At 42.5% G+C, this 18,111-nt stretch overlaps 1 long non-coding RNA gene across 1 annotated transcript in view, besides 1 other annotated feature; it reads right to left on the bottom strand.

Moving 5' to 3' along the window:
• Nucleotides 1-8,518: 8,518 nt before the first annotated feature.
• The window catches only part of LINC02609 (long intergenic non-protein coding RNA 2609), a 68,667-nt gene continuing 59,074 nt past the window's right edge, over nt 8,519-18,111 (bottom strand). The window contains exons 2-3 of the long non-coding RNA NR_135038.1: nt 14,933-15,022; nt 8,519-8,958 (exon numbers count right to left, since the gene is read on the bottom strand). This is a non-coding gene — a long non-coding RNA (long intergenic non-protein coding RNA 2609). The remainder of the gene's footprint in view (nt 8,959-14,932; nt 15,023-18,111) is intronic.
• Nucleotides 13,211-13,460: a silencer, noted in NCBI's record as "fragment chr1:91253233-91253482 (GRCh37/hg19 assembly coordinates)". NCBI's record gives its function as "represses an EF-1alpha promoter that drives an FKBP-Casp9 reporter gene in an ReSE screen in K562 erythroleukemia cells {active_cell/tissue: K562}" and the evidence as "EXISTENCE:reporter gene assay evidence [ECO:0000049][PMID:32094911]".

Raw genomic sequence — 18,111 nt, forward strand, 5'->3', positions numbered from 1 at the left:
ATTTCATTTACATTTATGGTCATGTAGGTTAATTAAAAATTTCTCTTTAGAAATACAGCCCCCAAGACTCTATGTAATTTAAATAGGTTCTACATTCATGCAGAGTGAGAATGGCAGTTTCAATATTTAATTCTTGCTTCGTAAACTTTGAAGGCTAAAAACACATCATCCCCAAGTTCTGAACTCTCTTTATGTTGGAAACAACTCACTAAAGGCAACTTGGAGTTGCTAGGTAACTTGGTGTCTGTGGAAAGCTTCTGATAAAATATATTTAAATCAGATTTCCTGGAGTAGATGGGCAAACTGAAGTGGAAAATAAATTCAAATGATCTGATATTGGCTTTTCATGCTAAAACTAAAATCTCCTTGCAGTCAATGCTCACAGAGATCTTCTTAACTTTAGGGTGCCCTTGCTGCACAGAGCATCACATCTCATTCCCCACAACATGATGCCATCTGAGCTTTGTGAGCTGAATTACTTTCTAGCAATTGGGAAAGATCCCTGAAGAAGAAACACTGCATGGAGAACAGTCTGAATGTGTCTGCTTTCCCCACTTCTTCACTGGGTACAATCCTTTCTCATAAGTTAATGGACCTGGTTGGGGTGGTCTTGTCTTTAGTTCTCCCAGATCATAATAATAAAATCTAATTATAAAAGTAGGGTTGAGCTGCTGGGAAGTGAATCAGCTAAGCTACAATCCCCTAGTCTTCAATGGCTCAGGCCAGAAACTCAGAAAACAGAAAAAACTGTGGACTTACTCAGTGAATGCACATACTATAAGGTAGCTATAAGCATCACCCAATGATTGAATTGTACTGTTTGAGCTTACGTAGGTTGAGAATAAATAGAAGCTGCCAGTTATTTTTTGATATTTTTGTCTGTGACCAGAGGGTAGGTCATGGGACTGGTGGGGGTTATATATAATCTTCTATGAGGAAGACTTCAGGAATCTTTTTCTGAAGGAGAAACTTCAGTCACCCTACAACCCACAAAAGTCACTTCTTTGCTGAAGTCTCTATAATCTTTTAGGGTTGGTGAATTTGTACAAAAATGATACAAAAGGAATCGGTAGTTAACTTATTAGTTCTGGAACTGATTAGCAAAGAATGCTCAAATTCCCAGAAATGATGCCCCAGAGAAGTGTCATCACCTCTGTAATGACATGCAAATGCAGATGAAATTAAAGAAGAAAATGATTATTGGCCAGCTCAGTGGCTCACACCTGTAATCCCAGCATTTCCGGAGGCCAAGATGGGAGGATCGCTTGAGTCCAGGAGTTCATGACCAGCCTGGGCAACAAAGTGAAACTCCTTCTTTACAAAAAATAATAAAATAAAATAAAAATGAGCCTTGGGTGGTGGCATGCACCTGTAGTCCCAGCCAGCTACTCTGGAGGCTGAGGCGGGAGGATCACTTGAGCCCAGGAACTTGAAGCTGCAGTGAACCATGATTGCACCACTACACTCCAGCCTGGGCGGCAGAGTGACCTGTCTCAAAAAAAAAAAAAAAAAAAAAGAAAGAAAGTGATTATCAAACTCCAGCATATGTGTCTCTTGTTACCTCACTGTAAGAAAAGGGCATACCAGGAAGAGGAGACACCCCAGTGAGAAGCAGGTATAAACCAGAATGTCACGTTAGGAAATTGAAGTTAAGGGAAATGGCTTGTGCTGAGTGGCTACCGTCTGACAGGCAATGTACTAGGTCCTTCAATTGCATCATTTCACTTAACTATTAAAGCAGTTACAGAAGGTTTTTTTTTTTTTCCATTTCACGGGACAGAAAACTGAGGCCCCAAAGGGCCTACTAGTTTAAAAGTGGTCACAGGGCTAATAAATGACAGAGCCAGGATTCAGAAACCTTTCTGCCTGATTTCAAAGCCCAGGCTACTTTGTCAGGAACCTTGGGAGGGAGTGGAATCACAGACACTCTCATATGCTGCTAATGGGAGTGTAAATTGGTTCAAATTTTAGCAATATATGTCAAAATGTTAAATGTACACACCATGAAATTTAGCAAAATAGGCTTGTAAGAATTTATTCTAGACATGCACTTTCACAAGTACACAATTATATATATATGTGTGTTCATATCAGAATGGTTTGTAACAGAGAAAGATTGAGAATATCTTTAAGTATCCCATTAATCAGGGACTTGTTAGAAAATTCCTGGTAAGCCACACAATGGAATACTATTTACTCATTAAATATAATGAGTTGAATCTATATGAACACATGAAAAGATATTCCCAATATTGTTCAATAAAAAAGTAAGTTGCAAGGCAGCAATGCTTGTGAGTTGTGTGGAGGGGGTACAATCCCCTTCGAAAAAAGGGGAATGTCTGGAAGCATACCCAACTCACTCTTGTCAATGGTGAACCTGTAGGGAGTAGGGTGGGGGTGTTTCTTGGTCAAGTGGGGAGTGAATCTTTTACTTTTCACTTTGCAACCTTGTAAATTCTCTGATTTTTTTTCCTAATAAGCAAGTATTACTTTTATAATAAAAGAAAAGATTTAAAGAAGGCCCTTTGAACTCAGAAAATAATGGAAGGTTTTTATAACACAAAAATGAAGTGGGTCAGGATCTGTTGGAGAATAAAGGGAAGGCAGATGATGATTAAGGAGCTAATGATTGCCAAAGGTCATTTATGTCTTCATGCTAATTGCGAAGGCAGATTCACAGAGAACTTTAGCATTGGAGAGGGTGCACCTTGAAGGCAGAAGACCAAAAAGGAAACTCTTCGTGATATCTTGGATAACTTGTCAAACCAACGCCCAAATGCTTTGATAGTGTCTCAATCCTGTTCAGTGCATGGAATCATCAACACAGTTGTTCTGCTCATACAAATTATGAGCAAAGGAATACTAGTAGGCAGCTCAGGTAAGAAGAGAAGTATTTTTCCCCAAAAAACTTGGCTGCAGCAAACCATTCTATCCCCAGGATGCCTGGAGTTCGTCGGTGACAGCTGCAGCCCTTTCTGCCTGGAAATATTCTCCTTCTGATGTGGAGGCAGATTGCATTTGCCTGGCTAATCCAGCCATACACTGGAGAAATGACGAAAGGCCCAAGCTACCCATATGTCCTATAGATTCCAAAAGAAGACGTGCTACCAACAGGTTTTTTGCCATTGCTTTTTCTGATAATGTCAACATCGCCATTATTGTTTGATTAGTTTTCTTTGCACTGAGTCTAAAAGGAATTTCTGCTGAGTGTCTCCAAGATGCCTCAGACATCTCTGGGTACTTTTTGCAGGACATAACTGAATACTTTTTGTGGAACTTTCCTTAAAGTCAGTTACTTTGTGCTGTATGAAAATATGATGTATCTGTTTTCCCTTTACTGCCCAGTGTTTCCTGTTCTTATAATTTTGTTCTAGTTAGGTTTCCTTTCGCTTTTAAAAAGCCATTGTTTGTACTTTCCCTATTAATAGTATTAGCTCATCTTTGCTGGGGCTTATGTTGTACCAGGCACTATTTTAAGTATTTTATGTAAATTAATTATTTGAACCCTCATTATGAATCTATGAAGTAGGCACTGTTTTCATTAGACAAATGAGGAAACTAAAGTGTGAGGAGCTTAAGGAACTTACCCAAGCAGTACAGCCACGATTCAAAACAGACCTGTCTTACTCCAAAGCATGTTTATTTAGCCATGTACTACACTGTATCACAACAAAGATGGCAGTCTGTCTGTCTTGTGCTTGACTCCACCTCTTCTCCAGGGCATTGTCAATTCACCTTCCTTAACATGGAGGGACTCTACTCAGAATCCTCAGCTCCCCACCAGCCATGGCTCAAGACACCAGCTCCTTTTCTGCCAATTCTAGCCCAATTGATCTCTTCCTTTGCTAACAACTTTTGCGTTTGTTGAGAGCACCATACAATTAGCATATATTTTTAAATACCCTATTATCTAATTAGCTGAAATACATAATTTAACACTTTCTCACAGTCATATCTGCCTTCCCAGGTTTTGAAGGTATATCAGACACCTCTTAGGCTTCATCTCATATCCTCTCAACCCACCTTTTTTTCCAACTTTTGCTGCAGCAAGCAGCTATGCCCAGGTATAACCAGATAAGGATCTTGTCTCAGCTGCACTGTGAATCTGTTCCACTCTCTAGCCTGAGTTTTTCTAAGCTGAATAGATGTCTGCTAGAATCTCCTGAGCACTCACACATATGCAAACCTAGAATGCAAATCTAGACATTTGAGAGAATTAACATTCCCTGGGGCAACCCTTGACTAATAAAGATAGGATCTGGTGAGTAGAGCTGCCCTTTCTGGCTTTTGGGCAGAAAACTCTGAGTCACATTCAGAGGCCTACAATAATGACTAGCTTTCTAATGTCTGCTTTTATCAGCTTTCTCTATAAGGAGGTATAGGGCCAAGGCATATGGATGGACCTATGAGGATAGGCATAAAGGGTGAGGATTTTTTAAATCCTATGTTAATGTCCATGAGCATCCACCATAGTGAATCAATAGAGCATCAACAACCAAGTAGACAGGATGACTTTTGTCTTCTGGATGTCAGTGTCTCTCCATGGCCATTCCAGTACTTTTGCAATTGGCTCATTAATGGCATGGCCATGGTGACAGGAGTAGAGACTAGGCATGGACACAACAGTATCAAGTCCTTCTCACCAGGGCTGATATAGCTCCTGCCATTGCTGAATATTTTTCCTGCCAGAGGACAGGCTGGCATAGATAAGGCACCATCCTCAGAGATACTAGCCAGGCACTTGGTGGCAAGTTGATGACATCACACCTAATTCCATTATAAGAATTGACACCTAGTTGGATATGGCTTTGCCTTCCCTGATGTCAGTGCTGTTGCTGACACTGCTACCTGAGGACTTACGGAATGTGTTCTTTACTGAAATGGGAATCCACACAACTGTGCCTCAGACTAAGGGATCCATTTGATGGTAAGAGGGTTGTGACAATGGGCACATGATCATGGGATTGATTGATCTTACAATGTACTTCTTCACCTAGAGGCAGCCAGCCTAGTAGAATAATGGAAGAGCCTAGTTAAGGTGCTAGCTTGGGCATAATACCCTATGGGGTTGAACTGTATACTCCAACATGCAGTATATGCACAGAACAAACAGTGGTGATTTTCTCCTAGCTATAATATATGGGTCCAGGAATCAACTGGTGGAAATAAGATTGGTTCTTTTCACCATCATTCTCAATGATCCACTTGTGAAACATTTGTTAAGCAATTGACCCCGATTCCTATGAGGAAATAGGGTTGCTATTACACAATGGAGGCAATAGGGCAGAAGGGAGTACGTCTAGGACCCAGCGATTTAATGGGGCATCTCTTGGTGATAACTCCAAAGTCCATTGATAACTGTAAATTGGCAACTGCAGCAACCTCAGCCCACAGGGGCTAACGCAACCCAGTCCCCTTGTGGGTGAAGGTCTGAGTCACTCTTAGATGACTCCTAGGTTGCTGGGAGGCACCCTAGACCAGCTGAGGTGTTGGTAAAGGGTGAGGCAAAACTAGAATAGGGGTGGAAGATGAAGGTGACAAATATTAATTATGGCATTGAGATCAGTTGTAGCAGTGAGGACTGGACCTCATTACATTAACCTTCCTTTATGAAGTCTTGAAGGCTCTGTGAAGAAAAATAAAGCAGAGTAGGGAGACGGAGAATAGCAGGATTGGGTGACTATTTAAAAAGAATGGTCAAGGAAGCTTTCTCCGATTAGGTGACATTTGAGCAGAAACCTAAATGAAGTAAAGGAGCAAGCCATATGAGTACATAGGACAAGAGCATTCCAGAGAGAGAAAGTAGCAGTCCAGATGTTCTGAAGTGAGAGCATGCTCGGTGTGTTTGAGGAGGGTAGTGTGGCTGGAAGGGGGCGAGCAAAGGAGGGAAGCAGGAAGAGAAGTGATCAGGAAGGTAACGGGGCTCAAACCATGATGGGCTTTGCAGGTAGAATGAGGACTTTGGGTCCCATTTTGTGTGAGGTAGGGAGCCATCAGTGGATTCTGAGATGATATGATTTATTTTACATTATATAGAGTCCTCTGCTGCTCTGTGGATTGGCTATATGAAGTCAAGGAGGGGTGCGGGGAGATCAGTTAGGCCACTACTGTGGTAGCGTGTTTAGATCTCATTTCAGATGGGTTTCTGGGTGCATAGGGTAAAGGCATGGGGTTGCTGGACATCAGGTCTTGAATTAAGAGTGGTATTACTGTTCTTCAGGGTTGACTTTAAGCTACTCCTGAGTAAAAACTAACTCTTCTACTTCTTATAAATCTTTCCTAATACACAGCACAGCCCTATGTGTGTAGTGGTGAATGCGCAGAAAATGCCTGTGATTTTCTCATTTGAACATCTACTTAGTCTTTGCGAAGAATCCATAGAAACAATCTGTCTACATTACAACACATAAGTGACATGTGGTTTCCAAGATCAGGCCTATCATTTGAACATAAGTACCCAGACCATGTGCTAGGAAATGTGCTCCTTGCTACACACATACCTTCTCTTTTAATCCTCTTAACAACCCTGGCAGGTGAGGTTATTCTTTACAAGGTACAGGTGGGGTTATTCTGTATAAGTTATTCATACAAGTTTCTGTATGAAGAAACAGAGACTGGGGGTAGAGGTTGAGTAAATTGCCAATGGTCATCAGAGGGTAAGGGACAGAGCTCCAGATCTGAACCAAAAGCTGATTCCAGAGCCCGCGCTTAACATCTCTGAACTGCTTATCCACATTCTTTGGTGGCCTAATCTTATTTTTATGATCTTTCAGATTCTTCTGACTATGAAAAATAACTAACATTAACAGGAAGAGCTGATTTTTTAAGCCTCATTTGCCTGGAGGAAAATAACTAAGGTAATGATTCTATTTGTTTATTAAGATGCCTGTTAGAATGATCCTTTTGCTCCTGGAAAATCATTTGGGCCAATAACAAGAATGGGTGGGCATTTTATTCTGAGCTTCTTTGATGATATCTGCTGCAGTTTTCCTGCTGTGTGACTTTTTTTCCCCCAGAAAGCCATAGTACTGCCTTATTCCTACTTTAAAAAATCATTAGTGTAGTTGCATCACAGAAGAAGGAAAAAAAAAAACAGACGTGTGAGCTGCCCATGAAATAGAGTAGTTTGCCACACATGAGCACAGCCCTTTTCATGTGCTGGCTGTGAGCCTGTCCTCATGCTGGGGTGGAGAAGCTCATTACTGCTCAGAGTAACCAAGAAACAGGGCCTGGCAAAGAGTAGAGGGAGACCAAAGGCCCAGAGTGCTCCCACCAAATTGGATCCTGGAAAGTCTGACACCGGAGCAACTACTAGAGTCACTCGGCAGCCGCTTGCTCGGGCTTTTTACAGTGAAACTGCAGGGATAAAGGAGGCCATTCTGGTGAACTGGAGCATCGCCCAGTATTTGCCAATGGATAGAAGGGTCACAGGGTTTGAGGCCATGTAGAATAACTGATGCAAAAGTAGCAGATACTCGTTTGTCCAGACTGCAAATACCCAGTTTTAATGTCTTGCTGAATCTGCAGCTCTCCTAGAAGCACAATGAAGTGTCTGCAACTCAGAACACATTTTGTGCCTTGGACACTGCATGTCCCCTTCACTCCTGCTTTCCACTTCTATCTTCTTGGCCACCCTGCCTGTTTGTTTTGATGAACTTCTGCCACTGGAGTTGGTATGTCCTGCCTAAATGGCATTTCAGCATGGATTTCCCCAGGTGCCTAGCATCCTTGCCTAGATTAACGTGTCAGTGGCATATGGTGCAAATGGGCTGTCGTTCAGTCTCAGAATCAGTTTAAAATATCTGCCAGGCTGCTGACTCCTTTGGCATAATGCCTGTGGCCCCAGTGTTTGAGAAAGGAGAGTAACATTGTCTGAAAATTATTTAGAGTGAATTTTTTCCTCTAAGAGCCAGAATCTGGCTTCCTGTCTTTCCACATTACTCTGTCTCTCTCTCTCTCATTTCTTATCCCTGGTATCTGAGCAAAAGAAAGAAGCCTATATTCTGATATTGAGTGCCTAGGAGCAGGGAAAATGTTGAGAGCAGCCTTTGTTGTATTGGTTCCTTTATTTTATTTATTTTGTATTTATTTACTTATTCATTTATTTATTTTTGAGACACAGTCTTGTGTCACTCAGGCTGGAGTGTAGTGGTGTGATCTTGGCTCACTGCAACCTCTGCCTCCCAGGTTCCAGCAATTCTCCTGCTTCAACCTCCCAAGTAGCTTAGATAACAGGTGCACACCACCACGCCAGGATAATCTTTTGTATTTTAGTAGAGTCGGGGTTTCACCATGTTGCCCAGGCTGGTCTCGAACTCCTGAGCTCAGGCAATCCACCCACCTCGGCCTCCCAAAGTGCTAGGATTACAGGTGTGAGTCACCACGCCCAGCCATTGTATTGGTTCCTTTACAGGCTCTTTTTCCATAAAGGGGAGTATGTTGCTTTTCAAACATTGTTGCATTTGATTCTCTTAAAAGCCCCTGTGTAGGTATTAGCTCCATTTTGCAGATAAAAAAATTGAGGCTCAGACAATTTTTAATGTGGTGAAAGCATACTACAAAGAAGTAGAAGAATAACAATTCAGACCCAGGTAATCTGACTTCACAGTCCAAAGTCTTTTCACTCTATTAAGTACATGCATTGACCATCGTCTGAACTGATATTGTGCCCACATCCAAGCCTCTCTGGGGAAGGAGATCTATTTTTACTGCAGTTCAACAGGCAGAGCTCATAGAAGCCTGCGTCTCTGTAAGCATTGTCAGCAAGTGCTCCTGGCTTCTTCTTGTACAAACTCTTCATCATGCTCTTCTCTCAGTGTGTTTAATGGCGGGTCATTGTTACTGTTTAGTTGCCTGATGGGTTTCTGGCTCCTAAATCCAAGTAACGAAGCAGATCCTGCTGTCCCTGGGATTATCCCCTCTTGATGAGTGATGACCTCAGGATTGGAGGCAGCCGACCTGCGGGCAGAGAGAGGGGGATGTCAAAGGTTCCTCCAGCTCAATTTGGATTGATGAACCAGAATAATCCGGGTAGCAGGGCTCATGGAATTGGCCTCAACTGGCAATCTTTTTCCAGAACTGTTCTTTCTCAATTTTTGTATTTGAGGTGGAGTGTTTCTGCCAATTTCTCACTTACATCCTCTCTTTTCTATTATAGGTATTTGGAAAGCACCCTCACTCTCATCTATTGGCTGGATTCATTGTCTCCACAACACCAATCAGATGGACTGCATTCACCAGCTACTCATTTCCACCTTTATGCTGTACTTTGCTAGAACGTTTCACTTAAAATACCTCCCAGGTCTTTATTCCGTCACCAAAATTCTGCACCTGCTTCAAGGCCCTGCCCAATTCATCACCTTCAGGAAATCTCCAAATGAGTCTATCCAACTAATAGCTTCTTTATTCCAAATTCCTTCCAATGATAACAACAACAGCACTTCTTAAAAAATTTATAATTGCTAATTTAAATAAGTAATATCATGTGGCCCAACATTTAAATGTACACAGGGTGTACAAATAATCAAAGTGAAAAGTAATTTGTGCTTTTGTCCCAGCTCCCTAGCTCCCAGCTCACAGGCACTCTGTGACCAGCTCCTTTTGTCTCCTTCTGAGCCTTCCAGAGATATCTTTATATGTATAAGGATATATACTTTTAAAAAATGCATCAACAATGTATGAGAATTACTGTTAACATAGATTAGCAATTATTTAAGAGATGCCATGCTAAGCACTTCACATGTATTATTTCATTGAATCCTCCAACAACTTTATCAGATGGATCCTCATATGATCCATATTTATAAATAAAGAAATAGAGGCTCAGAAAAGTTAAGGAGCTTACCTATGATCACCTAGTGATGTAGCAGAGCTGGAATTTGACCCCCGGCTGCCTGACTGCAGAGCCCAAGCTCCTAACCACTGTGCTACTTGCCTTAAAATGACTCTCTGATTGTCTCATATACATATGCATCTGGCTTCCCAGCTAAATCAAAGAGTCTTCAAAAACAAAAGAAGCAGTGTGGGATAGTGGAAAGAACGTACACTTGGGAATCAAATCCTGGCTTTGAAACTTACTAGCTATGTGACTACAGGTAAGTTTCTGAAACTCTCTGAATGTCCATGTTCTCATCTGTAAAGTTAGAAAACTGCTAACCTCATTAGCATTAGAGGGAGGGAGGAGTGTTGTGACCATCAGGGGAGATAAAGAATGTAAAGCATCTGACACATTAGAGGTTTGCAGAAATAGTAGTGACTTTCTCAAGAGCTGTGTCTTTTTAAAAATACATTTGCCTGCTTTAGCTACCCTATGCAAGGTAGAAATGTGCATAGGCAATCCTCATGTGATGTTTGATATAATATAAACCTGACCTTTCCAGTGGAAAATACCACACAGAAGTCCCTGAAAGTAAATACAAGGCAACAGGCTCTTGTACCTAGGACCCATGGGGCTAGCTCTAGAGGGAATAGTTGGTCATTTGTTGACTATTCAAAGAAATGTATGGAATAATATACAAGACTGGCCTAATGGTCGTACATATTGTAAATCTTCACTGAGGTAAACAAGCATAAATGGAATCTAAAGGGGAAAAAAAAACTGAGGAAACACTGTTAGGAATTTTTTCTGGAATATTCTTCCTCCAGACACCCTCATGGTAACCCTTTCACCTCCTTCTAGTCACCTCCTCAGAGGTCTCTCCTGACCTGCAACCTGTCCCCACTCCCAGTTTATTTTTAATTTTTTCATAACACTTTGCACCTGCAATTATATAATATAATTATCCTGTCTTTTGCATATGTTTTTCATGGTCTGATTCCTCTAGAATGTAAGCTCCCTGAGGGCAGAGGCCTCGTTGTTTTCATTGATATATCCTGAACACTTCGAATAGTGTCTGGCACATAATGCCTGCTCAATAAATACCTATTGGAGGAATAAATTTTTCAGATAAGAAAGCTGAGGTTAAGAGACTTAGCCTAGATAATTTTGCTAGTTAACAGCAGAGTTAAGATTAGAACTCAGTTTTTCTGCCTGCCAAACCAGTTGTCTTTCTATTAAATCATATTTTTAAGGATGTAGGAGCATATATGTAGGATTGAGGAAAGATTTGACTATTGAGGAATCCAGAAAAAACTGGAAATCACTGCATATAGACAAAATAACTGAACCATGAAAGTGACAGTAGGAAAAAAAAAAGCCATAGATGTGGGTGATAATGTTGATTTTCTTCAAAATTTTGTTTAAGTAACTGAGACTCTGCTGTCAGTTTATCTAGTGAAATAAGATTCATGATCAATATGTGGCGACGGAAATTTCAGACCTCATTATACACAAACTGAAGATTATTCCTTTGCTGTCACTGTGGCATTTGACACGCCAGTGAAAACAAAAGGAAATCTGTCTCAGATGCCCCTTTTAGCTTTGACAGATGTGGAAATGCATGAGTTTGGAGAGTTAATTTTTAGTTGGATATTACATGTGAGCATGTCCCAAGATACAGCTAGAGAAACTACCACCATGTTCACAGTTGAGAGCCACAGCCCTAGTGATGCACTGAATTTCAGTCCAGGATGTCTACTCCCATCCCTACTTTGTTCTCTTATCTTGAAAGTAAAAGAGGCACTCTGTCTTTTCCCAGGCTAATCTCCCACCTGAGCTTTTGATCACATCCCTTTCTCCCATCACTTACCCCTCTTTCTTGAATCTTAAATCTGTCTTTTTCCCATATGTGCAAATATGTTCAAATCTCCTCCATGCTAATGCAAAATTATAAATATCTTCCAGCAATCTCTTCAATCAGTAACCTATTGATGTAAAAGCAAAGCACCCCAAAACAGTGGTTTCAAACAGAAAGAACTTTATTCACAAGTTGATAAGTCATCTGGGCCAGGCTCAGTTGACTTCAGCTGGGCCCGAAATAGTGACTACACACCCTCATGAGGGTGCAGTTAGCTGGGGGGTCAGCTAGGGCAGGCTGGTCAAGGGCGAGCTCGCTCACATGCCTGGCAATTAAGCAGGTTATTAGTTATGGTGAAGTGGGTGGCTGGGACACTGATCACTTATCATCCAGCAATTTAGCTCAGGCTTATTCTCATGGTTGCTGGGCAGGATTTCAAGAGGCAGAGAGAGAGAGAAAGCAGAAATACAAGACCTCTTGAATTGGCACAAAACCAATTCTTCCTCATTTTATTGGCAAAACCAAGTCACAAGTCCAACCCAGGGGCAAGGAAATAGACTCTACTTTTTGATGGGAGGAGCTGCAAAGTCACATCACAAAGGATGTGGATTCAGGGAGGGATGGAGAATTAGGGTCAGTTTTGTAATAATCCTACAATATCTCTCTTCATCCTTAAGCTTCAGCCTAAGTGTCTCCTTTCCTTCACATCCGAACTTCCAGAAAGGGTCGTTATCACTAGCCTTGGCTACTTCCTTACCAACCACTCACTCCTCACCCAAGATGACCTCATCTTATTTCCGCCATCTCCCTTTTGATGGAACTACTCTCTTTAAAGACAACAATGGATCAAATATCAAATACTATGAACTTTCAGCTGTCATCTTACTTAACTTCATTGCACAATTTGACCTGTATGGCTATTTTCTCCTGCTTAAAACTCTCCTCCCTTAATGCCTGTGTTCACTCTCTCCTGTCTCCTTCTATTCCTCTGGCCATTCCTCCTCAGGTCCCTTGGCTGGCTGGTGTCTGTCCTCTGGCTTGTCAATGTTAATGTTTCTGTTGTCTCTTCCCTTTTCTTCCTTCTCATGTTAAATTCTTTCCAGAATCTAATCTAGTTAGGGGAATACCACCTATATCCATCTTTATTCTAACCTCCTTTTAACCCGCAGGTATAGTGTCAGTGCCTACTGGATATTGCCATAGGCTCCTCAAACACAACATGTGTCTTCAACTGAGCTTAATATCTTTCTTCCAAAATGTAATTCTGTCTTCACTTTCTTTGTTAACAGCCTTTCAATTATTTCAATTCATCAAGCTGAAAACAGAGGACTGTCCTTAACTCCTTCTGACCTCGACTTCATACAACCCAAAACATTAAGTCCTATCAATTCTACACCCCAAGTATCTCTCAGAGTCACCCCTTCCTCAAGTCCTTGCTACTGCCTGAGTTTAGACTGTCAACCTCTGTTGCCCAGGCCAATGCAGAGCCTTTCGTCTGCTCCCCTGACCCTCTTCTGCAGCCAGAGATCTTCTGAAATGCAAATCTGTTATTCCTTTGCCTTATACGCTTCCACTGGCTCACTTCTGCCAAGATAAAATCTAAACCCTTTGGAAAAAAAAAGTACTCCCTCTCATTTTAATAAAAAGAAGTGTTATTATCAGGAAATAGGGGACTCTCATGAAGCAAGAAGTACGGCCAGGTAGCAGGGGAGTTGTCAGGGACAGAGTACCCCGTGTGCTGGCTCCTCTCTCACTGCCTTCAATATCTTATCTCTGCTTCTTTCTTTGACTTTACCCCATTCTTCTGAAGACTTTCCCACCCTGTCTCCCTCTGCTTGTTCATCAATGCACATGGCCCCCTATACACATTTTTAATCCAAGCCTACCTACCCATCATATCTCTCAGAACAAATTATTGAGAAAGAAAATCTGATTGGCTTATCGCATGAGCCAAATGCTCAATTGGCTGTGACCATGAAGGGGTGAGGTTATATGGACAAAACATGACAGCGGTGGAGGCCCACATCTTCAGTGGAAGCTGTAGAGAAGAATGTTCTCAGAGAAGACAGTGTGGGCTGGGCAGGCAACTCAGACAGGCCCACTCTATTCCTTAATGTGACATATGTTATTTTTCTAGTGTCAACTCCCAAGTTTTCTACACTGCAATGAACTATCCACTCCAACTACACAGAGCTACTCCCCATTCCCTACACACGTCATGCTCTTTTTCATATGGTATTCCCAATACCTGCAATATTCTACCCCCCTCAACTCTCTAGAAATCTCCTCCTTATTTTTTATTTATTTATTTTATTTTATTTTATTTTTTGAGACAGAGTCTCACTCTGTCACCAGGCTGGAGTGCAGTGGCGCGATCTTGGCTCACTGCAACCTCCACCTCCTGGGTTCAAGCAATTCTCCTGCCTCAGCCTCCTGGGTAGCTGGGACTACAGGCTCATGCCACAACACACAGCTAATTTTTGTATTTTTAGTAGAGATGGGGTTTCACCATGTTGGCCAGGATGGTCTCAATCTCTTGACCTCATGATCCACCCACCTCAGCCTCCCAAAGTCCTCCTTATTTTTTAATATCCAATGTCACCTACACTGTGAAGCCTCCCTTGCTCCTGTTAGTTGCTCTGTCTTGTAGGAATGCTTACCACTTTGCACACTTAGCACTTTCCATTTGCACTCTTAGAATATATATTACACCAAATTGAAATTGTTTGCTCCCTTTGTTAGATTTATGGGCTTTTTTAAATTGGCAGGCACCATCCCCAGCATCTGCTATAGTGTTGGGCACATAGAACTGAATGAATTAAAATGTTAAGTGAACAGAGTTTCTAAATCAGTTGTATTAATCCATTTTTGCACTGCTGTAAAGAAATACCTGAGGCCAGGCACAGTGGCTCACACCTGTAATCCCAACACTTTGGGAGGCCAAGGTGGGTAGATCACGAGGTCAGGAGTTCAAGACTAGTCTGGCCAACATGGCGAAACCCCATCTCTACTAAAAACACACACACACAAAAAAAATTAGCCAGATGTGGTGGCATGCACCTGTAATACCAGCTACTCAGGAGGCTGAGGCAGGAGAATTGCTTGAACCCGGGAGGCGGAGGTTGCAGTGAGCCAAGATTGCACCACTGTACTCTATCTTGGGCAGCACATCAAGACTTCATCACAAAAAAAAAAAAAAAAAAAGAAAATACCTGAGACTGGGTAATTTATAATGAAAAGAGGTTTAATTGGCTCACCGTTCTGCAGGCTGTATAGGGAGCATAGCTGGGGAGGCCTCAGGAAACTTCAGTCATGATGGAAGGCGAAGCAGGCACATCTTCACACGGCTGGGGCAGGAGAGAGAGAGAGTGAAGGGGAAGTGCTACACACTTTTAAACAACGAAATCTCGTGAGAACTCACTCACTATCATGAGAACCGCAAGGGGGAAATCCACCCTCATGACCCAATCACCTCCCACCAGACCCCTTCTCCAACATTGGGGATTACAATTTGACATGAGGCTTGGGTGGGGACAAATCCAAACCATATCACCAGTGGTTCTCAAAGTGTGTTCCTGGATCATTAGCATCAGTATCATCTGAAAACTTGTTAGAAATGCAAATTCCTGGGCCCCTCCATGAACATACTAAATAAAAAAACTCTAAGAGTAGGAGTGGTAGGCACAACCTTGTCCCTTGCCCCCAGATGTCTATGTCCTATACCCTGGGACCTGTGAGTATGCTATGTTCCATGGCAAAAAGGAATTAAGGTTGCAGATGGAATTAAGGTGACTGATCAGCTGATTTTAAAATAAAGAGTTTATCCTGGATTATCCAGGTGGGCCTAATGTTATCAAAAGGGTCCGTAATGGCGAAGAGGGAGATGGAAGGGTCAGAACCAGAAAGATAACATCATGAGAAAGACTTGACCAGCCACTGCTGGCTTTGAGGATGGAAGGGGGCCACTAGCCAAAGAATGTAGGCAGGTTCTAGAAGCCAGAAAGGGCAAGAAAAGAGATTCCCCTAGAGTCTCCAGAAAGGAATACGGGTCTGTCAAAATCTTGACTTTTGTCAAGTGAGACCCACTTTAGACTTCTGACCTCCATAACTGTAAGTTAACAAATTGTTGTTGTTTTAAGCCACAACATATATTTGATAGGTGAATGAATGAATGAATGATAAACAATAAGTCAAACTTGAGGACTTTTTATTTTTGTAGATTTAGAGGGTACACGCACAGTTTTGTTACTGGATATATGTGTAGTGGTGAAGTCTGGGCTTTTAGTGTAACCATCACTCAAGAAGTACACATTGTACCTGTATTCGTCCATTTTCACACTGCTATGAAGATACTACCTGAGACTGGGTAATTTATAAACAAAGGAGGTTTAATTGACTCACAGTGCCACATGGCAGGGAGCTGGGAGGCCTCAGGAAACTTACAGTCATGGCAGAAGGGGAAGCAGACACCTTCTTCACAAAGCAGCAGGAGAGAGAAGTGTGAGCACAGGAAAAACTGCCACTTGCAAATCCATCAGATCTCGTGAGACTCCCTGTCACGAGAACAGCATGGGGGAAACTGCCTCCTTAATCCAATCACTTCCCTCCCTTGACATGTGAGGATTACACATGGGAATTACAACTCAAGATGAGATTTGTGTGGGGACACAGAGCCAAACCATGTCAGTACCCAATAAGTAATTTCTCATCCCTTACTTCCTTCCCACTCTCCCACCTTTTGAAGTCTCCAGTGTCTCTTACTCAACTCTCACTTGAGGACTTTAGAAACTTTGGAAAGGAACAGTCGAGTTCTAAAGGAATATCATCCCAGCACTGATTCAGTGGAGTGGGGAGAAGACACACTCTTCTCTTGTGTGGATGTCAAATAGAGGACACAGAAAAGCAATTAGAACAAGAGTAGAAAGCAGGACTGCCTGAAGATGTCAGAGGATAGGAGTAGAGAGTGTAGGAACTGTGCATGGCTCCCTGGAATGGGGGTGGGGGCAAGAGGTTTTTTTGTTTTTTTGTTTGTTTGTTTGTTGTTTGAGATGGACTCTCGCTCTGTGGCCCAGGCTGGAGTGCAGTGGCACGATCTCAGCTCACTTCAACCTTCACCTCCCAGGTTCAAGCAATTCTCCTGCCTCAGCCTCCCGAGTAGCTGGGATTACAGGTGCACACCACCACACGTGCACCTGTAATCTAATTTTTTGTATTTTTGGTAGAGACGGGGTTTCACCTTGGCCAGGCTGGTCTCAAACTCCTGACCTCAAGTGATCCACCAGCCTTGGCCTCTCAAAGTGCTAGGATTACAGGCATGAGCCACCCCACGCCTGGCCAGCAAGAGTTGAAGGGTAACAGGAGAGGCAAGGCTGGAACTGCGTTCACCACAGTATCGCCAGTTTCTAGTCTAGGCCTGGAACCTCAGAAGCCCAGCGCCTGAATCATCAATATATCTTTGTTGAGTGAAAGAGAATTTTAGTGTGAAATTGTTCTGGGCTCTTCAGACATTTGTTTCAAGGTGTCTGAGGAAGATCTGTGATTAGGTTCAGCAGACCTCTCAGCAGTAATGCAGACACTATGAGGGGAAAGGCTGATTCAAAAATCAACGCACTGGAGCTGGAGGCACGGGCAGCATAGATAGAATGGGTTCTGATAAGTGGTCAAGACCCAGTGTCCAGGGAATGTGGCCATTTCCAGTCAGGGGCCTTGCTGAGCAAGGGAATTCTAGCATTTAATTTAGTGCCCATTGTGAGTCAGCCGTGGGACTAGGTGTTTTCCTTCCTTGAGCTCATTCGAGCAAAGTGCCCCAATATGTGAGCTGAGAACAGGAAAAGGAAAACAAGGGAATGGCTCAGAGCCCAGGTTAGCAGACAGGGCCAGGGCCATCTCTCCATAGGGGACAGGTTCAACCTATTGGGTTGGTCCTATGGCAGGGTCCAGGCCCCAAGGAGGAGAACTGCCTTAAACAAAGCAGGGCCATAGGGGTCAAGACAGATGCCAGAAACAGAATGAAGGCTAGCTGAAGGCACAGAGCGTAGTCAGAGGCAAGGGGCAGAACTAAGCTTACGGAAGGAGAAATAACCCCGAAGTGCAGTGCATAGGGATAAGGCACTGCAATCAGGGAGGGAAGAGGCAGAGCTAAAGTCGGGAAATTCCTAAGAGAAATACTCATGATCAGAGTTACTACAGTTACAAAGCTAAGTAGGTGAGAAGGATTTCTTGACATCAATGAAAGTGATGGTGAAGAGTCATAGAGTCATGTGCCGTGCCCAGGCTGAGTTCCTGACCCACAGAATCTGTGAGCATAATAATACTTCATCATTTTATGCCACAAAGACTTGAGGTAATTTGTTTCCTCAAATTACAGTTACTTCACCATTACACATATATCCAAAACAAAACCGTGCATGTACCCTCTAAATCTATAAAAATAAAA

Source organism: Homo sapiens, chromosome 1 (assembly GCF_000001405.40).
Source record: "Homo sapiens chromosome 1, GRCh38.p14 Primary Assembly".
Lineage (NCBI taxonomy): Eukaryota > Metazoa > Chordata > Mammalia > Primates > Hominidae > Homo > Homo sapiens.